General features: G+C 39.4%; 1 protein-coding gene across 2 annotated transcripts in view, besides 8 other annotated features; it reads right to left on the bottom strand.

Moving 5' to 3' along the window:
• The window catches only part of ST8SIA1 (ST8 alpha-N-acetyl-neuraminide alpha-2,8-sialyltransferase 1), a 141317-nt gene that overhangs the window by 76245 nt on the left and 39273 nt on the right, over positions 1–25799 (bottom strand). For both annotated transcript variants that reach the window (NM_001304450.2, NM_003034.4), the window contains exon 2: positions 17514–17658. In NM_001304450.2, the coding sequence (NP_001291379.1) occupies positions 17514–17575 (62 nt within the window). In that variant the 5' untranslated portion in view covers positions 17576–17658. The remainder of the gene's footprint in view (positions 1–17513; positions 17659–25799) is intronic.
• Positions 257–426: an enhancer, noted in NCBI's record as "experimental_26564 CRE fragment used in MPRA reporter constructs". NCBI's record gives its function as "activates a minimal promoter by MPRAs in K562 erythroleukemia cells, with activity observed for the introgressed 12:22422911 variant allele {active_cell/tissue: K562}" and the evidence as "EXISTENCE:reporter gene assay evidence [ECO:0000049][PMID:34662402]".
• Positions 2164–2333: an enhancer, noted in NCBI's record as "experimental_26565 CRE fragment used in MPRA reporter constructs". NCBI's record gives its function as "activates a minimal promoter by MPRAs in K562 erythroleukemia cells, with activity observed for both the introgressed and non-introgressed 12:22424818 variant alleles {active_cell/tissue: K562}" and the evidence as "EXISTENCE:reporter gene assay evidence [ECO:0000049][PMID:34662402]".
• Positions 3773–3942: an enhancer, noted in NCBI's record as "experimental_26566 CRE fragment used in MPRA reporter constructs". NCBI's record gives its function as "activates a minimal promoter by MPRAs in K562 erythroleukemia cells, with activity observed for both the introgressed and non-introgressed 12:22426427 variant alleles {active_cell/tissue: K562}" and the evidence as "EXISTENCE:reporter gene assay evidence [ECO:0000049][PMID:34662402]".
• Positions 7221–7390: an enhancer, noted in NCBI's record as "experimental_26567/26568 CRE fragment used in MPRA reporter constructs". NCBI's record gives its function as "activates a minimal promoter by MPRAs in K562 erythroleukemia cells, with activity observed for both the introgressed and non-introgressed 12:22429875 or rs1960265 variant alleles {active_cell/tissue: K562}" and the evidence as "EXISTENCE:reporter gene assay evidence [ECO:0000049][PMID:34662402]".
• Positions 7221–7399: a biological region, named in NCBI's record as "Neanderthal introgressed variant-containing enhancers experimental_26567/26568 and experimental_26569".
• Positions 7230–7399: an enhancer, noted in NCBI's record as "experimental_26569 CRE fragment used in MPRA reporter constructs". NCBI's record gives its function as "activates a minimal promoter by MPRAs in K562 erythroleukemia cells, with activity observed for the non-introgressed 12:22429884 variant allele {active_cell/tissue: K562}" and the evidence as "EXISTENCE:reporter gene assay evidence [ECO:0000049][PMID:34662402]".
• Position 7306: a transcriptional cis regulatory region, noted in NCBI's record as "Neanderthal adaptively introgressed variant 12:22429875 (GRCh37/hg19 assembly coordinates) or rs1960265 in the experimental_26567/26568 CRE". NCBI's record gives its function as "modulates activity of the experimental_26567/26568 enhancer by MPRAs in K562 erythroleukemia cells {active_cell/tissue: K562}" and the evidence as "EXISTENCE:reporter gene assay evidence [ECO:0000049][PMID:34662402]".
• Positions 13377–13546: an enhancer, noted in NCBI's record as "experimental_26571 CRE fragment used in MPRA reporter constructs". NCBI's record gives its function as "activates a minimal promoter by MPRAs in K562 erythroleukemia cells, with activity observed for both the introgressed and non-introgressed 12:22436031 variant alleles {active_cell/tissue: K562}" and the evidence as "EXISTENCE:reporter gene assay evidence [ECO:0000049][PMID:34662402]".

The following is a 25799-nucleotide window of genomic DNA, read 5'->3' on the forward strand; positions in this document are numbered from 1 at the left end:
TATAAACATCTTTGAATTGTGGCAGAGCTAAGAAGGTAGCTGAGAAACGGGAGTATCAGCCCACTGTATTCTCTTCTTTTATATGGACAATAAAGTTTGCTTAATTGTATGTAAAACACCTCACATAAAAGGAGTCTTGAAGAGACAGAACCCTCTTTTAACAAGTTCACCATCACTAACCCATTCCATATAGAGGTCCTCCTGCTGTTACTTATCTGATACATATAGCCTGGAGCAGTTGTACAGTTAATTCTTTAAGATAAATCCTTAAATATGGAATTGTTAGGTTTAAACAATTTGGACCACATTACAGAAATTAGCAACTGAGTAAGTCTCCATCCGTTTCCAAGGAAAACAAAATGGGAATCTCCTTATACACTATTATAGGTATTTCAGACATATCAGGAGAGAGACTTCATTAGGTTGTAATCATTTTGTAGCATATTACCTAATTTGAAAGGAAATGCAAGGCAGTTTAAAGGGTTAAATTTGTAGATGTTAGCTTCAACAGGCCTCAGTTTGAATCTTGACTTGGAATCACAGCATGGAACCAGTGTCTAACTGGGAAATCCCAGGCAGGACACTTTTGGCTCAGCCTCAATTTCTACATGTCAAATGGAGACAATAATATCAGCATCATATGTTGGGATTATCAGATAATGCATGCAAAACATTTAGCAAAGAGTCTAGCACATAGTTAGTCTTCAACAAACTATAGTTGTAGAGTGTAGCCACAAAATTGAATCAAATTGAGAAAATATAACCAACCTACTCTTTGGTAGGTTTTCTCTAATACATTTGAGTTTCATTAATGTTTCCTACGCACTTTCCTTAAAGTGTCACATTTTGCGGAATTGAGTTTATTTATTTAAATTAACTTACTAATTATTTCCAATTTAAAATTAAAATACTGAATTAAAACAAAAATATGTTCAATATAATTTTTCCTCTAAATCTATTTCAAATAAACTTTTACGTGAACCTAGAGTGTGGAATGATAGACAATGGAGACTCAGAAAGGTAAAGGGGTGAAAGGGGGCTGGATAATGAGAAATTATTTAATGAGGACGCTGTATGTGATTCTGGTGATGGATACACTAAAAGCCCTGACTTCACTGCTACGCAGTATATCCATGGAACAAAATTATACTTGTACCCCATAAATTTACACAAATTTTAAAGATAGGAACAAAAAGAAAATTGAAATTTTAAAAGAAGAAACTTTTGTAGGAGTCGTAAACAGTTGACATTAATTGCTTTATTTGTACAGGTGGTCACAGATTCATAATTAGTAAATGGAAATACACTAAAAAGTTCATTGTGCCTTTTTTCCTATGTATTTGGCCATACTTGCACCTACCATGTCACTTGCAATCGTGGTAGCCTTTTACATGAGGTAGGTAGTTTACGTCTGCAGTTCCCACAGGCACATAGATTTCCTTTTTCTTTCCAATAGGAGCCTCAAGAAAATGAAGCTTTGGTTGTTTCATCAGCAGTGGCTTTGATGAACCTTTTGGCTCACATATCCATTAACTGACTCAGTAAGAAAACATCTGCATTAAGGATGTTTTCAAGGCTGGAATGACTTTCTTATAAGTGTACTAAACAGAATGCCAAGCCCACAGGAAGCACTGGCAACAGAAAGTTCAGAGTTGGCCAATTTAATCCTCAATGCTTCTCAAGCACAACTTAATTGAGGAAAACTTCACAGACAGATGGAACGATAGCATATATAAACTCTATATGAATATACATAACATATCTAAATCACTCCTCAGTCATCTTCTAAGTGCCCAGGTCATGGAGAATAAAATGGTTATTTACACAATTACAGCATCAGAGGATTCTGCCACTTCCAATGTACTTTGTGATGGGTACTGAACCTTTCTTAGCCTCAGCTTCCTCATCTATAAAATGGGGTGAAGGGAAACGTAAGAAATTACCTCTACAGTTATTGAAAGAATTAAATAAAATGATAATTATAAAAAGTGCCAGGTCTGGAACTTAGAAATCATTCAGTCAATATGACCTATTAATAGCTGTAAAATACGAGAGCGCCAATCATCACATTGCTCTGGTGGCTTCCCTGCTCCAAGTAGTCATTCTGATGTTCTGTGTCCTACATCAGCCTTTCCTGTCTCCTTGTTCTCTGCATCCCTCCACTGTTCTTAGATCTCTCAACCATCTGCAAAAGTGAAAGGAAATTTCTACATATCAAGATCCCCATGGTATGACATAACCTAAAACATGAAATTTAAATTTCCTTCAGGTACCCTCTTTTTAAAGACATGACATAATCTATGACATTTTATTACCATTATTTTTATTCATATGATAACACTTTGCCTTTTTCCCCAAAGGTTTCCTGGCCCTTACTTAATCTATCTTACATCTTATAAATCCTTACCACTGAATGCTTATTTTCCTAAGCCCAAATCTTTATCTTCTAAATCCTTTCTTGCCCCTATTTGTTCATGATGCAATAAAAGGTCACCAATGAAATTACAAAATGCCTTAAGTGAACGTTTTAAGTGAATGACTATAATTTACTTTATAATTTTTGACCTGCTATGGTCTTACTTTCAAATATTGCAGAGAGCACTTTGCTACTTGTTTTACAGGGCCATTTCCTTGAAATGTAATTACAAGCTGAAAAAGCAGTCCTAGGGGATTACTTAATGTATGTCCTTTACTAATTCCAAGGACAGTCAAAAAGTTTTCAACTCGAAGGATGATTGTTCAAACTGCCCACACCAACCAAGGTTTAGTGTTCATAATCTGGATGAAACCATTTTCTTATTTAGAGTTCAAGGGGTTAAAAAATTATTACTGTCTCTGGCAAGAGGTTGTTTGGGAACTATATTGACTGGCTTGTTTCCTAAACATATTGGCTCCACGGCGCTACAAAGACTGAAAAGTATTTTCCTCCAGCAGCTGGGCCAAGATAAATTGAAAACTAACAGGGAGACAGTATGTCAATTTCAAAGATACTGGTATTATAATAGCTGTGGTTTTAAAATACAAATCCCAGTCATTCGCTTTGTGGGAAAATTGGTACAAGAATATTTGATGGCTAAAAGACTGAAGAGCACCAAGGCTCCAACACAAGAACCGACAGTCTGGAGATGCCAGCTCCTGGCAGGGAAGAGACCTCGGAACCAGTTCAGCTTTTTGCTCTGTCACTGCACTCTGCCATTTAGTTCTGGTTGGGGAGAAGGCAGAGACTGACTGAGCTGACATCTCTGACTGTGATTTTTACATCTTCAAAAACAGCAGCAATTTCTCCATTATGGTGTCCTTTAAGATTGATTTCATTGCAACATCTGAGACTTGTATTATCTAATGACACAAGAGTAACATGGTAACAAAAGCGCTCGGGGTCACCCTGTTTGACTATCTTCACAGTTAGCCTTAAAGGCTTCAGTCTGGGACAGTTATTCTGAGGTTTCTTACCGATAATGACAGGAGGCAGACAAATGCCTAGATAGACACGGGCAGGTCCTGGCGAAACCCCACCTCCAAGTTGCAGACAGTTTAAAGCCTGAAAGCCAAGCTACAAGTTAAATCCTCGGACTGGATTGAGACCCCACCTGCCCGTTTGGCACACTTTCCTCTGATTGATCCCCACCGTTCACCTATTTTTCATATACCCACACTTTCCTAATTGGCTTTCTACACTGTCATGTCCACCTTTGAGTGGCATCTTTGCTTTGACCTTTTTGCACAGTCACAAATCAATCAATACAAGCTACCTATTCTGAGCCCATAAAAAGCCCCAGGCTCAGCCATATTGAGAACTTTACTGCCTTTGGGTAGGGGGACCACCCCTGCTAAAAGCTGTTTCATCATTCAATGAAACTCCCCGCCTTGCTCACTCTTCAAATTTCTGTGTGCCTACTTCTTCCTGGTCATGAGACAAGAACCCAGACCTAGCTGAGCTAACGAGCAAAAAAATCCCTCATCATTATGTTGACTGCTTCCAATGTGAGGATTTTCCCCTCCACTCTCTATTAATGAACTCCAAGTCTCTTTATATTTATACCAAAACATAGGCTCTAGGTACACCAGGATACACTTGGTGATTGTATCCACCAAAACTAAGCAGCTGAACTCATTCATTCATTCATTCATCATTCCACTAAAATTTATTGAATCTCTACCATGTCTCAAGCACTATGCTACAAACTGAGACACATAACTCCCTATCATCCAGAATTAAACACTATCCCTGGAGAGGTTTCCAGCTGGTAAGAGAAGGCAACTTCAATCAAATACTTATAGAATTGAATATGAAGTTGCAAATGAAAGGTACCTGGTGCTCTGGGGACCAGCCCCCTCCTCCCCAGGAAATGGTTCTCAAACAAGATGTAAGGGATCAATGTAAGTTAATTAGGTAAGAGGAGGCAACAGTCTTCCAGGAAAATGGATAGCATGTGGAAAACCTCTACAGAAGAAGACAGCACAGTGTTTGTGAGGATATGAAAGAAGGCCAGTAAAGCAAGGTATGAGGATGAGAAGCAACATTGTGGAAATTGATGCTGGAGCCACAGGAAGAGATCAAGCCTTAAGGGGTTTATCTTTATCCTAAAAATCAATGGGAAGACAATCAAGGGTTTTAAGCAAAATGATTGCATGATCTGATTTGCATTTTAAAAAGCTAACTCAAGCTACAGCGTGGTAATGGACTGGAGAAGAGGCCAGATTAGATACAAAAAGCCCAGAAGATAACTTTTGCAGAATTCTAGACAAGAGGCCATTGTCATTTGAAATGAGATGGTAAAGACAATGAGAGAAAATAAGAAGTGGATGTGAGAAAAAGAAATTATCTTCACAAGTATCAAAATGTCCATCAGCTCCATCCAATAACAATTTCTTAAGAATAATATATGTCTTAAAAGAGAATAAGAATAGCGAAAAGAAATAAAAACAAAATAACTACATGCCCAGAACCAATATTGTGGCTTGACTTTTAAAATGTACGATCTTGTTATTTCAAGATTAGGATGAAGTCCTGCACACTTAGAGGGTGACTGTCCACACACCATCACACACGCCACGCTCTATCGTGAGCATCCAGGACCTTTCCTTCTTCCATCGCTGTTGCCTGGATTGACCTAGGTTGACGTAACTTGATGCCATGTGGGTGCAAAGGTTTTGGGAAAAGCAACCATCCATTTCATCATTCATTCAGCACATTTTAATTTACCACCTGCTATGTTATGTGCCAGACCCTGTCTATGTGCTGCCTTCAAAGGGCTCACAGTGTGGTCAGCAGAAAGCATGTGAGCCAGTAACTGTTATTCAATAACAATGTTGACAATTCAGTTATTGAATTGTTATACAATAATTGTTATTCAGTTGTATTAAGAGAGATATATACAAATTTGGGGGGGAGAAAATAGATTTTTAATCAACACTGCCAGGTGGTTGAGACTTGGGAGAGGGAACTGGGAAGGTTTGCAGAAATGATGCTTTGGCTGGATCTTGAAAAATAAACAAGAATTCATCAGATAAGGATAGGAAGGGCATTTTGGGCAGAAGGAACAACATGTACAAATGTGAAGACAAAACGAAAAAACGAATTGTTCTGGGAAATGCAAGTCACTTAGTAAAAGTAAAAAGTAATGAGGGGCTGGGGCTGGGCATGGTGGCTCACGCCTGTAATCCCAACAATTTGAGAGGCCAAGGGCGGGTGTATCACTTGAGGTCAGAAGTTCAAGACCAGCCTGGCCAACATGGTGAAACCCCATCTCTATGAGAAATACAAAAATTAGCCAGGCATGGTGGTGCACACCTATAGTCCCAGCTACTCGGAGGCTGAGGCAGGAGAATCACTTGAGCCCCGGGGGCAGAGGTTGCAGTGAGCAGAGGTCACACCACTGCACTCCAGCCTGGATGACAGAGTGAGACTCCGTGTCAAAAAAAAAAGCAATGAGGAGCTGGAGGAAGCAGATGGATGGCAATTGGTAAGCTTATATTAGCTGACATTCTCAGAGAGTTCATATCGTGAAGACCTTGTGTGACACTCTAAGGGATTTGAATTTTATCATACAGGTTGTAACCAGGAAGGATGAACCTGCTCAAGATTGATCCCCTGTCAACAGGAAAAAGATGTGGGCTCCTGTAGAGCTGCATGGAAACCAGATGGGGCTCAGTGCCCAAGGCCCTCTATCCTGATCAGTAGCAAGGCTTGGATTCCCACTACTCTCAGCAAGCCAAGGAAGAAACTAGCTCTTCTGCAACTATAAGCTGATGCAATAAATCCCATTTGTGTTCCCCATCCCTCACCCACTGCCTGAGCTCTTCTGTAGCTGGGGTGAGGTGCTGGCAGTGCTCCGGGAACTGGGCCTGCAGCCTTCCTATTCCAGTACTGCTGTGAGTCAGGGGAATGATATGGAGGGAGGATCTAGCGCAGCAGCCTCCAGGCAGGATTCAGCACAACACTGGGGAGTGATCTTTCCCTCAGGCCTCTGCCTACCAAGGACTGGGCTTGTCACTGGGAAAACACAAAACATTACACAACCCAGCAACAACAAAAAAACTAGTCCTCTTAGAATTTCATGCACTTTGATTTTTTTAGGGCTTGTGCCCTGTTTCACTTGTAGAATGCTTGTATTGAGTAAAAAGGAGATGTCCTAATATTCAAAGCAGCTAAACGTCCTCTTTGCCATAAAGACCCATGTAACTAACTGTGTGAACACTCGGGATTTTTCTCCTCTGTCCCGAGGTTGTCGTCTGCTTTCTTTTTTGGGTTTCTTTCTAGAAGATGGAGAAGTGCAAGTGACAGGGGCTGAGAGCACCCCCCAAACACGCAAGCTCTCAGCCATGGGCAGCTTCTCCACAGCCCCAGCTTAGCACAAGCTCCTGGAGGGCTGCCTGGGGGAGGCAGTCATGGAAGTGCCAAGGTGGCCAGATGGTTCCAGGACCACAGTGTCTTTATTTTTAACTGTTTGCCACTGCCACCCCCACCCCTGCCCGACTCTGGAGTACTGTCTTCCCCAGACAAGCAGGAGTGAAGTGGAGGGGGGAAAGCACTGATTCTCAGTTGGGGTGTTCCTAACTGAGCAGTAGGGATAGAAGGTGTGAGCCTGGGAGTGCTTTTATAAATTATTTTTCTTGTAGATTTTATTTTTAATTTATGTCTGTGACCTGCCAGGAAGAGGGGAGAGAGAGAGAAAAAGAGATGCTGTTGAACACATGACAAAATAAAATAAAATGGAAAAAAAAAAGGCCACCGTTTCTGGCCATCTATGTCATTCAACTGTATCTGCAAGACTTGTACCTGAGTCACCCATCATAGCTACACTGGCTTTCCATTCCCTACAAACACTAAGTTGATAAAAGAGGCCAAAGCCAGGGTTCTGCCCTATCTTAGTAAGTATGTTATATCTCAGTCTCTCAATCACCCCAGGGGAATGGTTGGTGCATCCCTAATTACAGAACTACAAAGCCCAGTGTAGTTTCAGGTTCCCTTTCTTAGAGGGTAGAATTTCCTTATTTTTAATAATAAAACGCAACAGCATATCTACTAGCTGCTCCTTGTCCTTCATGAGTTTTCTCTGTGAATGCTGCTCCAGCTGACTTAGTCTGCCGTTTAGCCACTTGCTCATCTGCATGGCAAGTAGTGAAGAGTGAGTTAAGAGATGTCACACACACCAGTTTACATTTTATAACAACAAAATTGGCAGAGGGTGGAGGATGTCACAGAAAGGCAAATTCATAATAGTGAACTTTTTTTTTTTTTTTTTTTTGAGATGGAGTCTCACTCTTGCCCAGGCTGGAGTGCAGTGGTGTGATTTTGGCTCACTGCAACCTCTGCCTCCTGGGTTCAAGCAATTCTCCTGCCCCAGCCTCCTGAATAGCAGGGATTACAGGTGCCTGCCACTACGCCCAGCTAATTTTTGTATTTTTAGTAGAGACAGGGTGTCATCATGTTGGCCAGGCTGGTCTCAAACTCCAGACCTCAAATGATCTGCCTGCCTCAGTCTCCTAAAGTGCTGGGATTACAGGCATGAGCCACCGCGCCTGTCTGTGAAACTTTTTTGAAAGTTCTTGAATTAGTATAGATAACAGATGATAAACCTTGACTTAACCCAGTGGCAGTGAGGTAAGAAAAGAGGGGATTGATTCAGGAAATATTTATGAAATAAACTTGGATTTGGACAGTGAAATTCAAACATAAGACCCTGGTGTCCAGCTCAAGTGACTGAGTAGACGATAGTGTCATTACCTGAGATCAGGAATAGAAGAAAAGAAGCAGGAGAAAGGGACAGAATTGTGAGCATGTAAAAGGTAAGGAACCTATGGAACATTGAGGACAGTATCCAATAGGTGCAGAACCGGATCTATTTTTACTCACTATTATTTCCCCAGGAACTAGCACAGTCCCTACCACACAGCAGTAGTTGCTCAATAAGTACTTCATGAATGAGTGGTCGAACACTTATTTTACTTACATAGAATCATGAAAATTTCAGGAAAGCATAGTTGTGCTGGCAGCAGGGCATATTTATTTAGGTGACAAGTCCAATCAATGTGTAAGGCAATCTTCTATGCATCAAATCCTTGCTTTAAATTTAATTCTAACCTTGATGTTATTTTGTAGATTTTTGATTTACATTAAATTTTATAGTTTGTGTAGAAATACTGTGTTTTTTTCTTGAGTCCAGAAATATCACTGAACTTTTTTGGATTTTAAAATATCCTCAAACAATCTCCATGTCAGGCATCTGGAAGCACCTACAAACTGTAGCAACTTCAGTTCTTACTGACCTTGGGTGTCATAGTCAAAGACTATGTAAGAGTATAACAAGAAAAGACAATCAGGAAATTTATAAATTATGGCTACAGAACTAACCATACTTTGTGAATATACTATCCTCTGAATAGTATATTAGACCCAAGATGTATATAAAATCAGAGTGGATTGAACTCTAGAAACAGAAAAATGTAAACAAAATAATCAGATGATACATATTGTATATGGGGCTGTTAGCCAGTGCTTCATTAACTGCAGACACCCCAGGTGAAGTGATTATCAAATTAATTTACAATTGCATTTCTCTCAGCACTTATTTTCTTTTTCTTAGCAAAGAGTTAAAATTCTGAAATCTCAAGAATAGAGTCTGAATAGACAGGAAAAATAAAACTTGGCAAGAAAAAAAACCTATGCATAATAATTTTCAGAGTATAAAATGTTGTCTTACCCTCAAAAAGCACTTTTGTTTCCTTTACAATCAGCAGATGTTGACCCATGCCCATCTATCCTAAATTTTCTCACCACACTTATCCACTTACCTATTTTTCTGACAAACTGCTAATATAATTTCTTAATTACCTAACAATTTTCCCAAATCCTCTCCTTACACTTAGTTTTTGCTCTCTCTGTATTGTCAGCCTCCACAGAGCTAGACATTGAAGACAGTAAGAACCTAAATGTTTTTGTCTGAAAAATTCTACTCATTTATCCAGCCTACTTCTCAATCTCTATATACACCTGAACCTACAGCTGGGGTTCAGACTGAGCCCTGAGCAATGTGGGTCAATCTTGGCCTTTAGGGGAATGATTGGGCATGGTCACCTGAAGCTATGGGAATCACTACCAAGTTACACTTGTGTTCTGGCCCTGGCTTTGAGGTATGGCTCTAGTAACTTGGTTTATGACTTAATTTCAAAACATAACCCCAGGCTGCCCTTCCAGGTCCCTGCCTCCCAGCCCATACCAAGTTCCAGTAACTGTGCTTCAGCCTTGCTTACAAAAACAGTCCCTAATTTTGGCCCCAGTGCTAGGATGCTCACCTGGTTCACTTGTGTTCCTGCTGTGATAAATGATCAGTTCCCAAACCTCTAGAAGTCAGAGGCTCTGGCTTCTTCTGACCAGTACCCTTGGAAGCTGCCAGTTGTCAAAACCTCCAGCGTAGAGACTGGGAACTTGAAGTCAATTGTTTTAAACGGATCTCTGGGTATAGCTCCATCCACCCCATTTTCATCTCTGCATTCTGCATACTAGCAGCACATCATGTTACTCCTTATTATCTTCTGGTTATTGCCAACAGTGTTCCACAGTAAGAACTGCAATACCCCTTTCTGGCTACTGGCTGGACTTCCTTTTAGCCCCCAAAGCTATGTTCACTCCCTATCCTATCCCTAGCCAACCCCTTTCCCCATTGTGTTGGGCAAGTCAAGCTTCAGGGTCGGTCTCTTCAATCTACTCAGAAGTTCTGAACACTGAAGATAACAGGGTAGAGCTAGTCAGGCCATAAGTGATTAAAAAATGTTGTGCTAGCTCACCTGTGATCTAAGAATGTTTGGCCATCAATGGAAGGAAGACAGTGAATTAGAAGGAAGATAGTGAATTGATCTGAACATAGACAAACACTCTGAAAACGTTCTCTGTGCATAGTCATACCTCTTGATTATTTGACCAAATTAATTAAGCCAGAGAAAATTCAGGGTTGAAATGATACCTCTCTATAAGTTAATCAAATATGTCTATGCATTTAAGCGACTCCTAATAGAGTTTAAAAGTACAAATGAGCATATTAATAGAAATGAAACAGAGGCTTCCTAGTATCCAAACAAATGCTCAAAACTAAATTAAAATCGGAGGCAAATTCCTTTCTACACTTGGACCTTTGTAAGAGCAACCAAGATTAAGAAACTAATCAAAGAAAAAAAACTAAAGGTATACCAGGTTCTCCTGCAGGGAAACACCCTGTCATGTCACCACACCTAAGAAGAAAATGTTATATGGAACAGTAACACCTCCTAAGAAAAGCTATCACTCCCGTCAGGCCTACGGGATGAGATGTGACTCAGTGGTAATTGGTGTCATGAATTCTTTTCAATTATTCCCAGGAAGCTAGAATCCTGAGCCATAATCGGTCTTTGTATGAAATTTTACACATTGTCAAGTAATTTAGAAAGATCTACACCATGGCAAGATAGAGCATTCCTTTATTTTTCATTTTGTTCTCAACCATAGACAACCTGCAAATTTTCATTAAAGAAAGGTCTTAATTTTCAATTATTTCTAAATTTGAAAAACAAGACATCTTAAAGTTCCCATCAGCTATTCTTCTGAGCAACTCCATTGCACTACCTCACTTCTAATCGATTGTTTTCCTTTCCCTATGAAGATAACAGATATTTGGACATCCAGTGATGATCCATTTTCCTGCTCTTCTCAGTTACACAGCAATTTGAAGAACAGTGGATATCAATTCATTGTTCAGATCACAATCTTAATTCACTAGAAGTTAATGATTTATTTCACCTTGCTCTTTTACTTTACTGTAATTATTATCCAAATATAATGAAACAAAGACTGTAACATTCTCTGTTACTACTTTATGTTTCCCGAAATCCCAGCTTCAACACCTTTATTTCTTTTCACTGTCCTGTAAAATTGATTTCACCCTTTTTTTAGTGGTGTTTTAGTTTTTGTTTTGCTTCATGGGTTCCTGGCATTACCCAAATGCCAAGGCAATGCTAAAGTCCGTAAACACTTTGAGAGAAAATAACAGTAATAATATTATCATATGTTTTTATGGTGCATTCATTACAAAGCACTTTTAAACCCATTATCTCATTTTAACTTTGTTACTCATAATAATGATACTGAAATATAAAGACCAGGTATTATTTGTCCCAATGTGCAAATTATAAAATTCATGCTGAGAATGGTTCCATGACTTGTCTGGGATCATAAGCGTCATCATAGAAAGGCCAGGCTTAGGATCCAGATTTTTAGACTGCATACCCTAAACAGTACTCTAGTGTTAGCATTAGGCCAAGAATGGCAGGGCCAATTACCTTAATTATTCAATAGTAGTGGAACCATGTTCTAGATTCCTATAACAAAGAAGCAATGCAAGGTTTCCCCTTTATAAAACTCAAAATAATGTAAATGCTCTTATTTCTCCTTTCAACAGGGGATACCGGGGAGCTCAAAGCCAAAAAGAGACTAGAGTATTGTATGGGAAACTATGGTGTTGTATAGGATTCCATATCCTGTATAGCTACACTCTACTTTTTCTCCCAAAAAGCTGCAAAAGAAATTTCTTGGCCAGGTGTAGTGGTTCATGCCTGCAATTTCAGCATTTTAGGAGGCCAAGATGGGTGGATTAGTTGAGCCCAGCATTCCTAGACCAGCCTGGTCAACATAACAAAACCTTGTCTCTACAAAAAAAAAAAAAAAAATACAATAAAAAAAATACAAAGATTAGCCGGGTGTGGTAGCACACGCCTATAATCCCAGCTACTTGGGAGGTGGAGGTGGGAGGATCACTTGAGCCCAGAAGGTGGAGGCTTGCAGTGAGCCATGATCGTGCCACTGCATTTTTAGTTTATCAAACAGAGCAAGACCCTGTCTCAAAATAAAATAAAATAAAAATAAATTTAAAAAATGAAATTTCTCCATTTCTTATAAAGGTATTCTTAGAAGTGAAAAACCTTAAAACAGTTTCAAGGTGACTGAGTGATAAGAATGAACTAATCCACTAGAATCCATGTCTTCTAAGGAAATAAACCATAGAGTAAACACTAATACCTTTGAAATCAGACAGGCCAGGTTTCACATCCCAGCCCTTCCACCTACCAGCTCTGGGACCCTCAATAAGGTATTTAACCCCTCTCAGTCTTAGCTTCATCCATGAAATGGAGGCAATAATAACAGCCACACAGAGTCGCTGTAAGGGCTGAGCGAGATAACATGTGAAGAAACTGAGGCAGCCCGTATAGTTGACAAACGCAAGGCATTTGCCTAAAGCTGGAAAACTGAACTTCCCAGGCTTTCTTGCAGTTAGACATGCCCATGTGACTCATTCCTGATTAATGATACATGAGCAGGAATCTGTCCAGCTTTCCTCTTCTGTTTACTCCTTCTTTTTGCTGGGATCCTGAACCGAAACTGCGAAGTTCCTTGGCCATCAGCTAAGGAGGTTTGAGTAGGAAGACAGGGGTCTGGGAGCTTGATGGCACACTATGTAGCCATCACTGAGCCCTAAACTACCTACCCTCTAATTCTTTATTGCTTGAGATAAATAAGCAATTATTTGGTTCTGCCCCCCATCAGGTTTCTGTTATAAAGCAGCCAGATGGAAGCCTAACAATAGAACCTAACAAAAGTCCAGCAAAGATCCATCCCCACCAGACATTAGACCCCTTAGTTTCCTTCCAGCCAAAAAGATATATGTCACGGGAAATGATTACAATAATATGAATAAGTGGAAAAAACTACCAAATTCTGTAGATTATGTAGTATAGTCCAAATTTTATTAAAAGAAAAAAAAATTGCTGTGAAACTCAGGGATATCCGGGAGCTCAGAGAATTCTATTAAGCACACTACTGTGAAGGAAAAAAAATGTGTATTTTCATTTTAACAAGGCTATTTTGACAAACTACTCCAAAATATCCTGCTGGGTTTCCCACAGGCCAAGAACGCTGCAGGTCCAGGCTCAGTGGAACATGACAGGAGCCTACAGCCAACCTAGGAAGCTGGAAATGAGTGTCTATGTGGGGTGCATTAAGGATGTTTTGTGATGCTTTACATATGGCCCTGGGTGAACGTGCTGAGGAGAAATGTAATTTATATCACAATGTAAGAGAATGGACAGCCAACCGTGTTTTTATAATACCAAAAGGAAATATTTTTCAGATTGTATCAGCACAGTTGTGGTTTCTAACATTCCTGCTACTGCCTCACTCATTTCCATGGAAATTTGTGTCCTTCCTTGGCAAGATATCTTAGGTCAAAATAGGGTTCATTCAATAATTCCTGTAAACACTGGACCATGCAGGCTTAAAAGGGGCAGTTCCTGGCTAAGCAGGAAAGAGCTGGTCCCAACCCAGGGGATTGGGAGCAGCTATTCTCAAAGTGGGAAGGCTGATACCATCACACCGTCCTCCCCAAATACAAACACGCACACATACATCGCATGTTTTAAAAATCCTGTGTGAAGGTTAAAAATTCTGCCCTTCATGCCTAATAATATTCAACAAATATTTCACCAAAATACATTTATAGAGCCCTTTGGAAACAGCTACCTCTGAATTTCCTGCTTGGTTTCCTATAGTTCAAGCAAGGGTACTGCAGGGGTCCAGCCCAAGTGAGACACAGACAGGAACGCCCTTGACAGACATGAGTGGTTGGGAATGACTATTTATACTGAGTGGGAAGCACTGCAGTGGGCACAAAAGGGAAAACCCTCTTGTTCTCAAGAGCTCACAAGATGGTACTGAGATAGCAGATAAGGACTTTTAGAACACAGAACACTGTCATATGGAGATATGAAGTTATGTACACCGCATTATGTGGCAGAATTGAATAAATTTGAACAGAAAGTTACAGAAAGTTGTGGAAGGTTCAAATAGCATAGAACTAACTAACTAAAAGGAGTTTGATGTGGCATCTCAATTCACAGACATTTCAATAGTTACCTCCTGAGGATACACTGCCCCAGCCATTATAGGACCTGTTGCCATTCCCTAATGTACCAGAGCATCTCCCTTCTTACACTGCATCTTTGTACCAACGACAAAAAAACAAAAGTAGGCAAACGAATAACATTGATAATGATGGCTAACATATACGGAGTATTTAAGGGGCAAGTGTAAAGGTACAGACATGGAATCGAAGTTAGAAATGAGTGACTTAGCATTATTTCACTGAAACTCTGGGAAAGGAGTGAAGCTTTGTTCATGCTGAAAACGCTGAGCCTGGCCCACTCACCTGCATTTCTACCTCACCTGCACACGCTATTTTCTTCCCACTGGGAACATAAATGAAGCGTATCAATTAACTGGCAACCCTTTTTGGCTGATAACAAACTAGAAACATTTTGCTAAGAAATAATAATGGATGAGAGCAGAGGGAAAATACCATTTTTTCCAGTGATGCAAACTGGTTTACCAAGATTTCTATGAATTAATTAGTCATTTCAGATTCTTAGCAGGAAAATACATACATATGCAATTAAAAAAAATCTACTCATTGAATTGGTTCTGCCTTTTGCAATGGCTGTGCCCATACACAATGATGTCATGACTTCTGATTCCCAAGAAAAAAGTATTCTTCCTTTATTATTCAAGGATGTTTCCTTGGTCTTGCAACTGGCACAAAGAGGCACAGAATTCATTTGCACAGACTTTACAAAGTAAATGTTTCTTATAACCCTATTGCTGCAACCGATAGATAATATAGGAGGCTAGTTTATATTTCTTTAATCATCCTTTTAAATCTATTTTCTAATACAAAGTTAGAATTCATTTGGTAAAACTAAAAGTCCTCATCTATAAAAAAAAGCTACTTTGGATTTCATTTAAAATGTTTCTATGTGAGGAGCTGTTAAAGGAGATTGCTTCCTTATCTCTTCCTCATGCCACAACTAGTTTGTAGCAGTTTTCATACATAGAATATCCTGTGGATTGGCTTGCTTAACCTCTGTACCACTCTCTTTCCAGCTTCCTGCTGAAGCATGACAGTTAAAAACTGCCTTTCCTGGACTTCTTCGCAACTAGTGTTCTGGATGCAAATCATTTCTCCATTAGAAGCATTTGAGGAAGATTTGAAATGAGGAGGAGAATTGGAACTCATATTCTTTCCCCTATTTCTAACAGAAGCAGTTGTGGCCACACTAACAGCAATGCCAAGTTGGGGCTTCCCAGTCCCTAGACCACAGTTACAGTAGTAGGTTCTTGTACTCAGTAATTCTAGGAACCACCCTTTGGCTCCCATTTCTCCATTCTTCCAATGATTTTTTTAAATGCCAAATTCCCTATATGAAATATCTTTCTGCTAAAAGTACCTAAAGAGATTTCTGTACCTTGCCTAAACCCTCACCAATACAATTCTGCTTTTCATGCCTCAGCCTCAAGATACTAAGTATGAATCAGCACATTAATACCAAACATATAATGCTTTGTATTTATAAAGTACATTTATTATGTTTTACAGTCGGGCGCGGTGGCTCACGCCTGTAATCCCAGCACTTTGGGAGGCCGAGGTGGGCAGATCACTTGAGGTCCGGAGTTCGAGACCAGCCTGGCCAGCACGGTGAAACATGGTCTCTACTAAAAATACAAAACAGCTGGGTATGGTGGCACATGTCTGTGATCCCAGCTACTCAGGAGGCTGAGGCAGGAGAACTGCTTGAACCTGAAAGGTGGAGGTTGCAGTGACCCAAGATCATGCTACTGCACTCAAGCCCAGGCAACAGAGTAAGTAAGACTCTGTCAAAAACAAAAAAAAAAAAAAAAAAAGGACATTTCCATGCATTATCTAAGTTGATCTTTTCCACAGCTCTGTAAGGTAAATAGGGCAAGTGCTGCTCTAGCCATCATAGAGACAAGACAGCTAAATCTCAGACGACTTAGGTAATCATCCAAGGAATTTAGTTAGTAAGAGATGGAGACAAAATTCAGTTCCATATATCATAGCTCTTAGTTATTTCCTTTGACACCTGGAAGCCTCCCAAGGGCAGATGAAGAGAGAAAACATGTAGATGCTGGCAATAAACTAAAGCTTCTACTTCTTATTTCAAAAATTAAAAGAAAAACCTTATCACTGCATTTTAAGACCATTAAACTAGACTAAAATATCTAAGGATGAGCTAGTCAGCATGGCTGTTTTATAGAGAGTGTGACTTTGGATCTGGTAGAACCTGTGCCTCAGCTTTGTGGGATTCCTCCTTTAAAGTCTCATGGGCTATTAACAGAGACACATGAAAGATTCAGTCCCACTTTCTAAGGCTTAAAAATTCTCTTTCTGTACAATCATCTGAGCAAACCAAGGGTGGCTAAAAGATGTCTTGGGGAGGCCATGATTCATTTCTGAATTTTTCCCTAATTGCAATTTTGCCTAAGATCTCCCCTCCCCAAAACTAGGGTTCCCTAAAATAAAATTTCCCTTTTCCCCCCTCTTGCTGCCTACATGTATATTAGAAAAACATTTTATTTCAATGCCCAGAAAACCAAGAATAAATATTAAGTAAGCAAAGCTTGATTTAGACCACTTCAAAAGTGGTCAAGTTGAATTATTCCTCTCCATATCCACCACTCCTCCATTTCACAGTGGTAATCTAACCACAGGGTTAACATTCAAGAGCTCTAAGAAGCAAACTTCTCACCATATGGTCCCCACTCCCTGAGCAACATCAGTCCTAAGAAAACATTCCAGTATCACACAAATCCTCATGGTCATTCCACAGCCAACCTCAGAACACTAGAATTCCACAAGTCCCTGATCATTCATTTCTTGCTTCCTTCAGTCTCATAGGACTCAAATCAGAAAGGCTAGGAAAACTGTAACTCTGTAACATCCTGCTTCCACCCTTGCATCAAAACACTGTGATTTATTCACACACACAGATGACAGATATAAAGAAAAACATTTAAAGAGAGAAGAAAGAAAACAAAAAGTCAATCTGATGAGTAAGGCAAACTCAATTATCCCTTTTCTATGACAGCAAGAAATTTAAGAAACCATACTGAAGGCAACCAACTCTATACTAACCTGTGGGAAGAGAGAGTAAGTTGAATTGTCAATGGTGAATGAGTATAAAAACTCCCCGTCATACCACATGCTCTTCCCCATAGGGGAATTCATTTTAGTCATAGCAAAGAGATGGGCAGGGTCGCAGCAGTCTTCCATTTGTTTCCTAGGAGAGAAAACAGAGAGAGAGAAAAGAACAGCAGGTTAAATGAGGAGCAGATTCATTCACTTGTCATTCCCACAGAGATGTGCCACCTTACCTCAGTGCCAGCTCACAGAAGCATAGCATCTCCAGGGTGATTAGACTACTATTAATTCACTCTTCTAGCCACCAAAATGCGTGACTAGACTATTTCACAGCAAAAAAAAAAAAAAAAAGTTTAAGAAAAATACATCAGATTCATTAGATTGTGTTCAGATTCAGGTGAGATATGTCAAAAGATAAAAATAACCATTACAGTTGCAGATGTACTGATTGATTTAAACATCCAGGTCCAGAAAAGACTTGGATAGCTAACTTTGGAGACTGTTGAGCTATTCAGCTACAGCAGAGGTGCATCTCTATCTTCATTAACAATCAGGTGGTTAAATTCAGTGAAAAGAGACTTCCAGCAAGCTGTATGGCAAGGGAATACACAGAGTGACCCTAAAGAGAGTGCACTCCCCAAAACTGGTGACAAGATAGAGAACAATCCCTTGAAAATCTTTTGAGTAGAAATAGAATGAAATGAATGATGTGATCTCAGACACTGGAGAGCAACCTACCTTCTCACTGCTAAACCTCATGGGCCTTTTTGGTTCTCACTTTGGCCTCTCAGAAGTGTTTGACACCGTGATGAGCTCTATGACTTTGACAGAAGTTTCTCCCAGCTCCCTCAGTGTCTGAAGCACCAGCATCACTGGGGTAACCTCACCCTTCTGGGCTGACTTGCAGGCTACTCCCCAGCTAGCCCCTCAAGTCTAAGCCATGTTTGTTCTATGGGGAAATCTTTATACGACCCTCCAATTAACAATCTGTCAGAAATAAATTCCACTTACTCATGAGTAAAAGAGCTTATTCACCACTTCCTCCTCTAGGAAGATGAATAAAACAAATTGCTGGCATAAACCACTTCTGAATGACCTCACCCAGAAACGCTTGCTCAGACATCTTTAGCTGAAAGGGGACGGTGGAGTGGGAGACTTGACTTCAAGTCCTGCCTCTGCAGCTTACTAACTCCATGACTGGGCAAAGAGAAGGGGCTGCAGAACTGCCCTATGAGACTTTCGTTGAGAGTTCACTGAGAACGTACTGGTAGAGCAAACACTGAAAGTTCAATACGTGGTAGGTGTTCTCCTTCTTATTGTCACACCGTCCCAGCCTCATTGTTGCCAGGAATCAGCCTAGTCAGTAAGGCTGCAGCTGCAGGAGCCCCGCGGTGTGGGCAAGCTTCCTCAGCCTGCGGGGGAGGTGCTCTTCCTGCCACACTGTGCCTCCCCTTGCACTCTCTGAGATCTTCGTTGGCTTTGCCTTCGTGAAGGTTTCAATGGAAAGAAGGACAGAAGAGAAGGGCTCAAGGCAGACAAGGGGAGAAGAGCTCGGGAAGAAAGCTTTCATCTTATCAAACTTGGTAGACCGAGTGTCTCTTCTTGCTCCTACGCTGGCCCTCCGTTTCTCATTAGCTGCTTCTCTTTCCTCTTCTTCTCCACCCTCATTCATTTTTATTGGTGTTTTGCCACCCAAAAGGTGGCTTCCAGAGATGGTAAAGGTTTTCTTTGTTGTTTGTTGTTGTTGTCCTTGTTTTTTGAAACAGGGTCTCACTCTATTGCCCAGGCTGGAATGCAGTCACTGCAACCTCAAACTCCTGGGCTCAAGCGATCCTCCTGCCTCAGCCTCTCAAATGGTTGGGATAACAGGCATGTGCCACCATGCCTGGCTAAGGTAAAGTTTTATACTGGACTGCAAACATTTTGTCAGAAGTGCATCCTAGGCTCTTATTGAGTCAACAGAAAACACCTGGACATGGTTTAAGACTATCTTTAAAAATAAGGAGCATTATCACCAGCACGATGCTAAATCTGGGGGGAGGATAGGCTAAATTTTTAGTTCCTATCCCATGTCTGCTGATATCTTATATTTTTTAGTCCTCAGAGCAACCCTAAGAGATAATTAAGGGTATGGTTATTATTATTATTATCATCATGATTCCTCCCAATTCTCATCTGAGGAAACAGGCTTAGAGCGGTTCCAGGACTTGCTCAGGCCACACAGGGCAGAACAGGAAGCCAGGTCCGCAGAGTCCAGGCTTTCTCCTCTTTGCGAGCTACCTGCTCAGAACCATTTTGATTCATTTGTATCTTTCTCTGCCCTAAAAAAAATGCTGTGTAAACACTGGCCAACTGCCGCAGTACACCAGGTGCCTTCATAGGTATTTTTCTACTGAATTCTCACAGTAACCCATGAGCTGGATGACTTTAATATTCTTTTCTCAAGTAATTTATCTCAGGTCACGTAACTAGGGAAACGGTGGGGCAGGGCTTTGCTTCCAGGTCTTTGTACCTCACATCAGGTACTTATTTCCAACAAGACCATGGCTCTGGCCTCCAACCAAGCTGAACTTGCCATTCTGTACAAAGTGCTACAGGAGGTTCAGAAGGAAAATTTGTCACAGCCATATAGCACCTTACGTTGCCTAGTACCTGGCAACTTGCAAATCGCTTTCATATTTGTTTCCTCTTTGCATCCTCAAAATAGCCTAAGAAGACAGGTTACATTATTCTGAATTTATGGACAGTGAAACTGACGCTGAGACCCAGAGACTTGTTTAAGTTCATTAGCTTAGCAAATGTTTTCTTAATTATTGATAAAATATGTATTAGATTATGTTGAATCACATTCACATCTCCTCCTACAGCATCACCATGCTAGGGCACTCATACCTTTAGTGGGGGAAAACAAATACGCCATAGAAAATACAAAGTTTCACATGTGTAGAAATATTTTTAAATCCAAGAGGTATAGCAAATTCACAGCGATCATACCACTATTTGCAATATGAGTGGTTTTTCTGTCATAAACTCTTAAACTTTTCCCTTCATCCAGATCTCCACATCTTCCCTCTGCCATGACCATCTCTGGAGGGTGGCTAAAAAGAAACCACAATGTGGAAATGTGTATGCATATCCCATGTGCCTGAGTGGGGTCCTCATTAGCTCACCAGCTACACTGGATATGGCAGCAGCAGCAAAAACAGGAATAGTACTAGTACTATAGTACTACCAGCTGCAGTACTAATAGTAGTAGTCATATTAGAAGTAGTAGTAGTGATTTTTACTGAGTTCTTACCTAAAGCTGTGCTAGGTTCTTGGGATATAAAATGGAATTTAAAACCAGATCTTCCTTCTGAAAACATAATCAAGAAAAGGGGCACCAACAAGCAAGTGACTTCCTGTGTATGCAGGGAGATGTGACCAAAGTCACAGCAGAGATGTGCACAGACATCTGTGGTTGTTTGGAAAAAGGAGGACATTAAGTCATATCCAGGGTTGCAGGAAGGGTTTCCTGATCTGAGATTTGCAGCCTGTTGTTTTTGATGTCTAGGAAATTGTCAGATTAAATAATGGACTTCACGTCCGTCTAACCTTCAGGTAATTCTGGAGCACAGCTATAGACCAGCTTTTAGAATTTTTAGCGAATTTGGCTCCTATCTCCTTTTTCATGCTTTGCGCTGATGCTGTGTATTATTTGCTTTTCTTTTGTGGCAGACAATAAAATAAGAGGATCAAAAAAGCTAAAGGAATTCCTTTTTCATATTCATGTTCAAATTGCCAGATCATTAAGTTTCAGTTGCGTGTGAGTTGAGTACTGGAATTACATCTAATTGCTTTTTATTTGAATTCAAGCTTCAGTAATAGTTGTAGCTAATGACGCTATAACCGCAACATAAAGGTAAATACTTACGAAGCCTGGGAGCCACTGGCTAGAACATCACTCAGGTTCTTATCCCTCCTAATGGAATTCATAAGATCAATTAAGCCAAGAAGCCCTCATCTGTTGACTGTGCCTACCGACTAGGAAGACAGATACTGAGGACACTTAACAGGCAAAGAAGGATGAAAATCCAACCACTCCATTAATTATGCCTAGGATCAGAGTGAACCTTGTTATGACGCTTTCAGATGCCATGTTCAACACTTTGGTCACCAGGCAGGAAGAAGGTTGGGAGGCTGCCACTCCAATGACTGATACTTTTGTGTCCCTTCCAAGAGATGACTGAATTTGAGACAGGAGGGGTGGGCAAGAATTTACCTCAGTTTCAGTATCTGGCCAAAATCTACTGTTACACTGTAGCTATTTAGACTTAGCTTTTGGAAGGTTAAATAGTCAGATATACAAACATCCAAATCAATGCCAGTGCTGGCATCCCTGAACATGCATGTGACAAATGATCATTTGATCTTGCATGTCCCCTTCATATCTAATCAGGGTATCAATGTGAGCAGCACAAACAGGGAGTGTCATCAGAGTTTACTGTTTGTAACCAAGTATGCAATCTAAAATTCTTATACGCAATATAGGGGTAAACAGTGACAATCTCTTTATGTGCTTTCTATGTTGAAATTCTATCAGTCAGGTGAAGTGTAAGTGAATATTTAATATTGCAAGAAGAAAATGCTGCAATAATAAATTTATTATGAAAGCTGTTAGTTTTATGTACAAAAAAATTATGAGGAATTATTTACTACCTAGGAGAGTAAATTGTCAGTTAAAGGAAATATTAAGTCAGAGCGTGTCTGGAATATAACCTTAGGAAAAATACCACATAATTATTCTGCCAACGAATATTTATAAAATTTTAAATAATATAAAGCAGAATAACAGAGTTGAGATTAAATAAGTCAGGTCTTCATAGAATTATTTTACATACTGACACTCAAAACATTAGACAAAATAACTTTGAAGAACTATATTTAATTTTCAGTTATTTAATTCCATTTAGACAATGAGATTTTCAAGGAAAAAAAAATGCTAAATTGGAACTCTTCACATCTTGTTATGAAGAACTGAAAGTTAAATGTTAAATCTGCCCTCAAAAAGTTCCATGAGGAATAAATACTCCAAAAATAATATCATGAGAAATCATCTTTGATCCAATCACAATAGAGAATTCCTCATATCCCTCTTCCCTGCTTTATTCTTCTCTCTAGCACTTAAAACTATTTATATGCTATATATTTAATTTATAGTCTTGTTTATTGTCTATATCCCTAAGACCCAGAATATAAACTCCATAAAGGCAGAGACTTCTATCTTCTGTTCACTGTTGTATCCCCATTTCCTGAAATGCTGACTGAGACATTATAAAGGTGCTTAATAAATATTTATTGAAAACCTAGATGCTCATCAACAGTGGATTGGATAAACAAAATGTGGCATATATATGGATGGAATATTATGCAGCCATAAAAAGGAGGAAATCATGTCCTTTGCAACATGGATGCAGCTGGAGGCCATTATCCCAGGTGAGTTAATGGATGAACAGAAAACAAATACTGCATGTTCTCACTTATAAGTGGAAGCTAAACACTGGGTACACAGGGACATAAAGATGAGAACAATACACATTGGGGAGCACTAGCAGCGGGAGAAAGAATGGGAGAAAAGAACTGAAAAACGACCTATTGGGTACTATGCTCACTACCTGAATAATTGAATCATTTGTACCCCAAACCTCAGCATCGCACAATATATCCAAACCTGCACATGTACCCTCTGAATCTAAAAGCCATAATTAAAATAAATGAATAAATCTGAATGAATGAATAAATAACAAATAGGAAGAAAAAAGACAGTGTTAGAGAAAGCAGAGAATTGCAATGTGCATTTTGCTTCCACAATCAAAATTCAAATTGAAGAAGTCAATTCCTTATAGTTTTCTTCTGTGTTGTCTGTTTCGAGACTAAGAAACAAACACTTGTCAAAATAATTGCTTTAGACTGACAAACATTTTCAGTAGTAGAAGATCCAGGATTTGGGGTATTTGCTGAGCAGCGAATCCCATTTCCTGCCACTGTATGCTAAATGTTAGTCTGGTTAAAGTAGGCATGTCTGTAGGACTGCAGACACGCAGCACAGAGACTACAGGAATAATCCACCAGTGGATGGTGCTGAGAAATTATTTTTCCTTCACTATATTGTCAAACATCCAAATGTTGACTTTGAAAATGTTTGGTAAGGTTTCAAATTTAATCTTGTCTCCCCAAAGTTCTTCCTATTCTAATGATATCTGACTTGTCAATTATTGATTTTAACATTTGGCTTTCAGCCAAAATGTGTATCTAATGCATTTCCTGCAGACAGCTAAATCAATAGTCCTTATTGTAAAGTGTCCTGAGCTGAGTTCCTAAAATTTCTTTTAGACTACAATATTGTTGACTCCTTGGGTTAATGTCACAGAGCCTGATTCATGACTGAAAATGTTCCCAAGCCTCTATTAGAGGACGGTTTTGAAATTGAGGTAAAAGATATAAATCACTTAGCACATTATATAGCCTCAGTAAGTAATTTCATTCTCCTTCTTAATAGTTAGAGACAATACAACTTTGTTTGCTTCACACAATATCAGTTTATAAATTTTTTCTGGCCATAATTTTTAATAGTTACTCCTTCTATTCTCAAACATGTCCCTTTCTGAATAATAAGTTGTACGTTCACCATATAAAGAGTAGAAGCTGAAAAGTTAAGCATCTAACAAAAGGGGGCTTTTCTTTAAGTGAAGAACCTAGTAGCCTACATAGAAATCAGAGAAGTTTCTTATTCTAAAAACTAAGCGGCAGATTTCACATGAAAGTAGAGTTTGGGCCAGCATATGCTAATTTTTTCCCCTGACTTAAAGAAATCTGTCTGAAATAATCAATTTTGAAGCAGGTATTTTTTTTTTTAAGGGTCACTGCTGGCTGATGGCCCAGACATATTTTCTATATGATCTAGAACAAGAAGTGGCAGAAGCTGCTCTGAAGAATTTCAGTGAATGTTTATTTTCAGTCTCCCTGTTTATACCTACTAGTCTATGTAGCTAGAAAGATTCTAATATTGTGTTTTGAGAATCAAGCAGCAGGGTCTTGCTCATGGAGGGGGAATGGAGGCAAGTGGTGATAATACTGCCTCTGGGGCAAAGACAATACCTTTGCCCCAGGTATTGGGGCAACTGTATTGGTTCCCTGCAGTAGGTAACATCATTGACCTAATAGGCCGAAATACACACTCCATATAGAGCAGAGATTTGTATTCATCTTATTTTTCTATCAAAATCTCTTAAATTGTATGAAGGAGAAGTACTTTCATTAGATTATTGCTTCAAAATAATGTTTTCTACAGATATAATAAAAAGTCTTTTCAAAGATTAATCTTCTGGATAATTTGCCAGAACTACAAACACAGAGAAAAACAACTCTTATCCACTACTTAAGCCAGAAAGTAATCTTGTATTTAGCAGTATTTTATTTTTCACATTTGAAATGACTGCATGATAAAGGAAATGTGTTCCAAAGAAAGGCAGATTAGTGCCATGTGTAATTTGTGTTTCTCTAGTAAGGGCAGAGAAAATTGAAAGAAGGAACTTTTGAAATATAAATATTTTAAGGAGGATTTGTTTTTTCTAATACATATTTGTTTTATAATTTATTGAACAAGTACACAAAATTATGTGGATTAAAGAATATCAATGTTTCTAGGAAGGATTTCAATGAATACTTATTTTCAGTCTTCCTACTCAGGCTTACTGATCTATACAGCTAGAAAGATTCTAGTATTATCTTTTGAGAACCACTTATTTGTTATTTTAGTAGCTGGAAGTGACTGGACCCATTCAGACCTCACTCATTCAGTCAATCAACAAACATTTGCTGAGCAACTTCTATGTGCCTAGTGCTGTTCTAGGCACTGAGGATAAGGCAGTGAATAAACCAGGGGCAGAGGTAGGGGGGACACCTTGCCTTCTAATTCTAATGGAGAAATCAGGAAAACAAAATAAATAATTTACTTGGGTGAATTGGGAAAGATGCAATTTTTAACAGGGTGGCTAAGTCAGTCCTCACCGGGTGATATTTGAGTAAAGACCTGAAGGAGGTGAAGAAGAAAGCCATGTGAATATCTGAAAGAAGAGTATAGTGGAGTCAAAACTCTCTGTCTCCTCGTAGGGTCCTGGCTGGGTCTGAGAATTAAATTGATACATGATAGATTAACAGGAGAAAAGTTTTAAAATTTATTTAATGTAAGTTTTACAGGATATGGGAGCCCTCATAAGAAAAGTAGGACTCAAAGACATG

The sequence above is a fragment of the Homo sapiens genome, chromosome 12 (assembly GCF_000001405.40).
Source record: "Homo sapiens chromosome 12, GRCh38.p14 Primary Assembly".
Taxonomy (NCBI): domain Eukaryota; kingdom Metazoa; phylum Chordata; class Mammalia; order Primates; family Hominidae; genus Homo; species Homo sapiens.